Raw genomic sequence first — 9296 nt, forward strand, 5'->3', positions numbered from 1 at the left:
GCAAACAGGGCCTGCTCTGCTAATGATCTGTGTAAATATTGTGCTGTAGAGCCTTTCTGTGACAGGTCATTGCTGCTAACAAACCGCAGAATGCAAACAGAGACCTGTGCTGCCTTCACTGCAGATGCACAGCAGCCAGCTTACACTGACAAAGCAAATGAAAATCCTCTTATTGTCGATCATCTCAAGCAAAATGGCCTAAAAATCAATTCTAGGATAGGCTTTCTTTCTTTCTCGAAGCTTTAATCTGGGGATGATGACAGTGATAATGGTATTTCATTATACACATAAAGTAAGAGAGAAAAACGTAATAAAACAAGATATAAAAGATGAATTTAAACAATGGATTGTGAAAGCCTTGCTGTTTGCTTCTGTTTTTAAAAATATTTTGCTATTTTTTCTTGGCTGCTGCCGTTACTACAGTTGTAGTCTGCACAGAATGAAGCCTTAATCACACAGTCATGCTGAAACATGTTTACAAAGGTAAAATTAATGGGTTTATCTTAAGCAAGATGTCTTTCTATGGCATCATTAATATGCTTTAGATTTTTTAAATAAATGTGTTTTTATTCTTCCAGTACATCAGAATTGGAATTGGAGTCATGTCAAGATGTTCTCACTGGCAAAGACAGGAGGAGGTTAAAATAGCTCCTTGTAGGGCAGTAACCTCGGGAGAAAAAGAACTAATAGAAAATAAATGGCGAGTATTTTTTTTGAATCATTTGTATGATAAGCTTATAATGTACTTGTCTCAATGCAGAAAGCACAAGGAAAAAATAAATATGTCCTCATCACATTGGTAGACAAAGCACTAAGCACGTAGGTTGTCAGAAATTCGATATCCCTTTCTCTTTTCTATATCCTCTACCAAACAGAAAGTTCCACATACATCTGAGACTTCAGTGTCTATGTGACTTGAGTACAATTTCCTTTTTCATCTTTGTTTTTCCTTTACTTACTCGTTTCCCTTTATTCTTACCTGAGATATAGAGAATAAAAAATAACACTATAGAATCAACCTTTTTTTCTAGGTAATTTAGAATAAATTTTCCAGAACATAAAAAGGGTAATGATGGCATTATGTAAATTTGAGACCAAAATTTTCTGAATTAAATTATTTTTACATAGATAATGGTTCACTTCTGATTAGGAACATTAAATAAAAAGTAATCTTAACAATATGACAATACAACTTAGCCTTCTTGCATTATCTTTTTTAGCCTAAATATTTAATTATTATAATTTGCACAACATCGAAATTATAGTGCAATTCTTTTCTTTACAAAATAATCACAATAAAGTATTTTAATCAAGCAACTGAGCACATACAATTATTATTCTATGTCCATAAAATTTTTTTGCAGAAAACATTTATATAAGAATTTCAGTAGTCAAACATTGAGTAGCAGGAAAATACTATTAAATTTTAAAAACCAAACAAGCATTGGAAACAGAAAAATGGATACGAAGAGAAGCAAGTATTCTCCTGTATTTATAATTGTGGTACTTTACAATATATGTAATATATCTTTAGAAAGATTAATTGTCTTTTATTCTCACAGAAATTCTATGAGCCAGGCAGAGGAACTGTTTTTGTTCCCATTTTACTTCTGTAAAAACTGAGTCTCAAAATAACTGCTCCCCAGAAGTATAGAATGATTAAAGGTCAGAAACAGAGCCTGCATATTTTCATATTTGTTACACTTTTTTAGCTATTGTTGTCCAAGAGTACTCTTACTTTTGAGATACTTTCTTTATTTCACTGTTCAGAATTTTTATATTTGTATGATTTAACAAAATAATCGGTAAATTTCATTTTTGGGGATTAAAAATTAGGTTGTGGAAGCTACATTAGGTTGTGGAAGTTGTGCCCCATCTGAGACAAATCTTGGATTAATCAGTGATTGATTAAATTATTGAAAGTTTAGTTATTCAAAGAAATTGGCATAGAAGTACATTAAGCTAAGCTTTATCTGGTAAGATGGAGAACTAACATGATGTGGGCTTCTTTCTGTGACCACAACCCTGGAAATGACACAGAAATCAGCATCTAATACTAAAAGATGTGAGAAACCTTTGCAGTTACAAACTACAGTAAAGTCTGCGAGTAGAGAAAAAAATGACAGCAAAGAGCAGAAAACTGAGATGTAAGGAAACCAGAATATGCTGGGGCGGAAGTTTTTAGTGGTCATCATTCCTTTTCATTGCATTCCTGTATTTTTTTCTGCTCTTTCAATAGTTAGAGTACCCACAGTGTGCAAGGCACTCTTCTAAATACTGAGAATACACTACAGAGCCAGAAAGACAAAACTTTGACCAAATGGAGCTCCCATTCTAGCAAAACTAGAGTTGAAAAGAGACCACTGCTAACTCCTTTAAAGCCATTTTGGAGTCGGCCAGGCAGAATATGACTCAACCTAGCTTGGAAAATGAGGAAATAGTGACAAATGCAGAAAGACCATCTGAACCCTAGGCATTCTCCTCTAACCCAGCTACTCCATACAATGAGTGTTAGGATGGTGATTAAAACTGAGGGAGACCAGTCTTGGTAAACAGCACCACCCAGGACACGTGAATACACCAACTTTTATGGAGGAGGAAGGCAAACAAAGGGTGGCAGAATCCAGTTATTTCCTAAGGAGTCCTTCATTCTAAACACTTCTGGTGGGTCAATCTTGAGCCTGATTTTAGTGCCATGTATTCTTAATCAGCATAATAAATCTTACTAGGAAAAAATAGGCCTCAAAGGAATTCAATGACTCTAAAATAAAATACATGTATATCAAAGACAACCAGATTTACAAAAATTAACAATAGTTTAAAATATGTGACCATATGTGGTGGTTTACGTCTGTAATCCCAGCACTTTGGGAGTCCAAGACAGGAGCATTGCTTGAAGCTAGGAGTTTGAGATCAGCTCGGGCAACCAAGAGAGCCCCTGTCTCTACAAAATAAATAATAATTTAAAAAAATACCTAGGTGTGGCGGCATGCACTTGTAGTCCCAGTTACCAAGGAGGCTGAGGCAGGAGAATCTCTTGAGCCCAGGAGGTCAAGGCTGCAGTTAGCTAGGAGGCTGTCACCACTGCACTTGCTCCAGCCTGAGTAACCGAAAGACACTGTCTCTGAAGAAAAAAAAAAGTTAAAATAAATCCAAAAATATGTATAGTAAATGTTCTCAAAGACATAAGGCACAATATTTGAACCTGAAGAAGAAATTAGCAATCATAAAATATTTTTTCAGTATGAAAACCATATCTGTTGAAATGAAGGATTAAATATATGGTATAAACAGCAGAAGGGTTAAATTTGAGGAGTGCTCATTAGTGAGATGGAAGATAATGTTCAAATAATAACAAATTTTTTTTTAAATTTAGAAAACTAGACTTCACATGTACTGCTGATGGGAGTACAGACTGATGCAACTATCCAGAGAGCAATGTGGAGTGAAATGAAATCCAAACCTATGAACCAGCAGTCCTACTCTTGATCCACATGGCAAATAAACTTAAGTTTAAACTCATGAAAGGATATGATATCCAGTAGAGACAATTGTTGTTGCAGGAAGTTGGAAGGAGGCAAAGAATCTATCACTGTAATACACACACACACAATTGTTTATAAAAATGGAATACAGGCCAGGTGTGGTGGCTCATGCCTATAATCACAGTGCTTTGGGAGGCCGAGGCGGGCAGATCACAAGGTTAGGAGTTTGAGACCAGCCTGTCCAATATGGTGAAACTCCATCTCTACTAAAAATACAAAACTTAGCCAGGCGTGGTGACACGCGCCTGTAGTTCCAGGTACTCGGGAGGCTGAGGCAGAAGAATCGCTTGAACACGGGAGGCAGAGGTTGCAATGAGCCAAGATCACGCCACTGCACTCCAGCCTGGGCAACAGAGCGAGACTCCATCTCAAAAAAAAAAAAAAAGAAGAAGAAGTAATAGTGTGCTGTGCAGCATGAAAAAAAAATGAGGTAAAGATACACACGATAACAATAATAGGTCTTAATAATATAGTGTTGGATTTACAAAAGTAAAAACTATATATACAACATATAACTCAAAAACAACCACAAAATTTTATAGTTTTCAAAAAATGCATATTCAAGGGTCTACCACAAACACATGAATGCAATTGAAGTAAGAGGGAGAAGCAGAAGGAAATAAAAATAGAGATTAGAGATTAGGGCAAGATAAAATAATTAGATAAAATAAACCAAGAAATTCCTATTTTATTTATCATGATAAGAATGTACTTTAAAAAGAGGATGACTACATAAAATGAGTTAGGGAGGAGTACCTCTTTTTCTATTGTTTGGAATAATTTCAGAAGGAATGATACCAGTTCCTCTTTGTACCTCTGGTAGAATTTGGCTGTGAATCCGTCTGGTCCTGGGCCTTTTTTTTTGGTTGGTAGGCTATAATTACTGCCTCAATTTCAGAACTTGTTATTGATCTATTCAGGGATTTGACTTCTTCTTGGTTTAGTCTTGGGAGAGTGGATGTGTCCAGGAATTTATAAATTTTTTCTAGATTTTCTAGTTTATTTGTGTAGAGGTTTTTATAGTATTCTCTGATGGTAGTTTGTATTTCTGGGGGATCAGTAGTGATATCCCCTTTATCATTTTTTATTGTGTCTATTTGAGTCTTCTCTCTTTTCTTCTTTATTAGTCTGGGTAGTGGTCTATCTATTTTGTTGATCTGTTCAAAAAAACCCCTCCTGGATTCATTGATTTTTTGAAGGACTTTTCATGTCTCTATCTCCTTCAGTTCTGCTCTGATTTTAGTTGTTTCTTGTCTTCTGCTAGCTTTTGAATTTGTTTGCTCTTGCTTCTCTAGTTCTTTTAATTGTGATGTTAGGGTGTCAACTTTAGATCTTTCCTGCTTTCTCCTGTGGACACTTAGTGCTATAAATTTCCCTCTAAACATTGCTTTAGCTGTGTCCCAGAGATTCTGGTATGTTGTGTCTTTGTTCTCATTGTTTTCAAAGATCTTATTTCTTTCTGCCTTAATTTCATTATTTACCCAGTAGTCACTCAGGAGCAGCTTGTTCAGTTTCCATGTAATTGTGCGGTTTTGAGTGAGTTTCTTAATCCTGAGTTCTAATTTGATTGCACTGTGGTCTGAGAGACTGTTTGTTATTATTTCCATTCTTTTGCATTTGCTGAGGAGTGTTTTACTTCCAATTATGTGGTCGATTTTAGAGTAAGTGTGATGTGGTACTGAGAAGAATGCATATTCTGTCGATTTGGGGTGGAGAGTTCTGTAAATGTCTACTAGGTATGCTTGGTCCAGAGCTGAGTTCAAGTCCTAAATATCCTTGTTAATTTTCTGTCTTCTTGATCTGTCTAATATTGACAGTGGGGTGTTAAAGTCTCCCACTATTATTGTGTGGGAGTCTAAGTCTCTTTGTAGGTCTCTAAGAATTTGCTTTATCAATCTGGGTGCTCCTATATTGGGTGTATATATATATATATATATATATATATATATATATAATCGTTGGCACTCCTTGTTGCATTGATCCATTTACCATTATGTAATGTCCTTCTTTGTCTTTTTTCACTTTTGTTGCTTTAAAGTCTGTTTTATCAGATACTAGGTTTGCAACCCCTGCAAGGCTACAGTAACCAAAACAGCATGGTACTGGTACCAAAATGGATATATAGACCAATGGAACAGAACAGAGGCCTCAGAAGTAATGCCACACATCTACAACCATCTGATCTTTGACAAACCTGACAAAAACAAGTAATGGGAAAAGTATTCCCTATTTAATAAATGGTGCTGGGAAACTAGCTAGCCATATACAGAAAACTGAAACTGGACCCCTTCCTTAACACCTTATACAAAAATTGACTCAAGCTGCATTGAAGACTTAAACATAAGACCTAAAACATTAAAACCCTAGAAGAAAGCCTAGTCAATACCATTCAGGACATAGACATGGGCAAAGACTTCATGACTAAAACACCAAAAGCAATAACAATCAAAATTGACAAATGAGATCTGATTAAACTAAAAAGCTTCTGCACAGCAAAAGAAACTATCATCAGAGTGAACAGGCAACCTAAAGAATGGGAGAAAATTTTTGCAATCTACCCATCTGACAAAGGGCTAATATCCAGAATCTACAAGGAACTTAAACAAATTTACAAGAAGAAAAAAAACAATCCCATCAAAAAGTGAGCGAAGCATACTAACAGACACTTCTCAAAAGAAGACATTTATGTGGCCAAAAAACACATGAAAAAAATTCAACACTGGGCTTTACAGAAATGCAAATCAAAACCACAATGAGATAAAAATGATGAATTCATGTCCTTTGTAGGGACATGGATGAAGCTGGAAACCATCATTCTCAGCAAACTATCGGAAGGACAAAAAAACAAACACTGCATGTTCTCACTCATAGGTGGGAATTGAACAATGAGAACACATGGACACAGGAAGGGGAGCATCACACACCGGGGCCTGTCGTGGGGTGGGGGGAGGGACGAGGGATAGCATTAGGAGATATACCTAATGTTAAATGATGAGTTAATGGGCGCAGCACACCAATATGGCACATGTATACATATGTAACAAACCTGCATGTTGTGCACATATACCCTAAAACTTAAAGTATAATTAAAAAAAACCACAATGAGATGCCATCTGGCATAAGCCAGTTAGAATGGATATCATTAAAAAGTTAGGAAACAACAGATGCTGGAGAGGATGTGGAGAAATAGGAACGCTTTTACACTGTTGGTGGGAATGTATATTAGTTCAACCATTGTGGAAGACAATGTGGTGATTCCTCAAGGATCTAGAACCAGATATATCATTTGACCCAGGAATCCCTTTACTGGGTATATACCCACAGGATTATAAATCATTCTACTATAAAGACACATGCACATGTATGTTTACGCAGCAGTATTCACAATAGCAAAGACTTGGGACCAAAAAAATGCTCATCAATGACAGACTGGATAAAGAAAATGTGAAACATATACACCATGGAATACTATGCAACCATAAAAAGGATTAGTTCATGTCCTTCCTGGGGACACAGATGAAGTGGGAAACCATCATTCTCAGCAAAAATACACAGGAACAGAAAAACAAATATCGCATGTTCTCACTCATAAGTGGGAGTTGAAAAACGAGAACACATGGACACAGGCAGGGGAACATCACACACTGGGGCCTGTTTGGGGTGGGGAGCTAAATAAATATAAATATAATTTAAATATATACATAAATATAATATAAAATGTTATGACTAAATTCTTTGTTAAATAAAAAGTGAATGAACAAGTAAACAAATGAATCAATAAAGGTAGATCAGTAAGATTGGACCTGTTACGTTTCTGATACACTTCTGTCAGCATCTATGCCAAGCTTTGCCTAATCACCTTAAGCTCCCAATGGTCCCAATTTCTTTATTCTTGACAAATGAACTCATTTCTACTTTATTGAAACCATCAGTGACCATCTATAAAGAGCTCCTTTATGTACCTATAAATCATCCTAGCTCACATTTTCCTACATTTGAAATCACCCATTCTTGAATTTTCAGTGCCCATTGTCCAGACTAACTTTTCCACTAGAACTTTAAATTCAATCAATTCCTTTTATCTCTAGCATCAAATATTCTCTATCAGCTTTAAGCTGTTAATCCTCTGTGGTTCCTCCTGTACTAATGCAGACTCATGCTAGTCCATTCCAAAAGACCTCCTTGATATGGCTACTATTACATAGTCCTTCCTTTATTAAAAATATTTCATCTCTAACTCCCTATTGTAACAATGTGTTGTTATGCTTTAAGTTTCTTCCTAAAATTTTTCATTAATAACCTACTAAGAAATAAAATATACTAACTTATAGTATTCTGTGACTAAGATATCTAAAGTTTGGTTTGATAGTCCATTTAAGGAGTAGATTTTCCCATCTCTCTCTTTGGGAAAAGGAACCTAGCCAAGCCCAGATTTGTGTGTCTATGTGAATCAGTAACACTTCAGGAAGGAAGTATGACATAGTGGTTAAGGTCACAATCTCTAAAATCAGACAAAGTATATTCAAATGTCAATCTTAGCAGTTATTAGGTATGTAAAGTTGAAGAATTTCATTACATCTTCTGATACAATTTTCTCATCTGCAAAAGTGTGTATTGGTAGTATAGGCATTATATTTTTGTGAAAATTAAATAAAACAATAAATACAAAGTAATATTTTTAGTGTTAGGCTCACAGTAAAGTGTTACTATGTATTATTGTCATTTCACTGTGGCTCTTATTTCTGAAGGACAGGACAGTCTACTAAATGTATTGTAATGTAATGAAAATAACTAAGCCATGTTATTCTATTATTTTGAAAAGTATCTCTGGTTTTTCATTCATTAAAAAACATGCCTCTCTTTTGGGGACACTCCATTGTCCTTTTCTTCTAGTCACATTGAAGTCTGTTTGCCTTTGAAGGCAGCCACATTAACTCACTGTCTACAGGGAAAAATCGCACCCCTTTTTATGGGAGGAAGTACAGATTTTTGATTCCTGAGTCCTGTTAATACAAGTAGCACCTCAGACTTTACCTAGATTGATATCCCTCTTTCTCCATTTCTCAGCTTGCAAAATGGAGTGGGCAATTGTTTAAGGGGAAAAGTGTATGTGCTTTCAAATTCCAGTTCACTTCTCATTAGTGAAAACTGTGGATTGGTGAATACAATTAATCTCCTGAATTATACTTTGCAAAAACAACCAACACTTTTTCTTAGACACAATACAATGCAATTTCATACTAAAGAAAGAATGTTACCTATTAGCATAATCATGCCCATTATTTTAATAACAATAAATGGATATTCATTATCCATTTTTGTGCTGAGAATCATTTGGTGTTTTATTCCTTTCCTATAGACCTGAAGGTATCAAAATGCTACAGCAGTAGTAAATAGTAATCTTTGTTGTTAGAGAAAGAGGCAATGGTTTTGATTACATTCTGGTTTGAGGTAATCTGATTGTGATAGCATGTTTGGTGAGAAATTTGTGATCAATTTCTTTCTAACATTATTATTTACTGTAATATTTTTAAAATCTATCAACCTGTCCTTTTAAGGCTTCTATAACATGAACCTATCCTGAATATTTTTGTTTCTGTCTAATGCTTTATTTCTTTTCTTGATTTTTAACTTTCCATCTAAACCATTACTTTTTCTCAAAATAGTGTAAACCATCATCTCTATGTAAATGAGTATACTAAAAATACATCATAATACCTATCCTGAGATCCAGTCTCAAATTTCCAACTT

The sequence above is a fragment of the Homo sapiens genome, chromosome 9 (genome assembly GCF_000001405.40).
Source record: "Homo sapiens chromosome 9, GRCh38.p14 Primary Assembly".
Taxonomy (NCBI): Eukaryota; Metazoa; Chordata; class Mammalia; order Primates; family Hominidae; genus Homo; species Homo sapiens.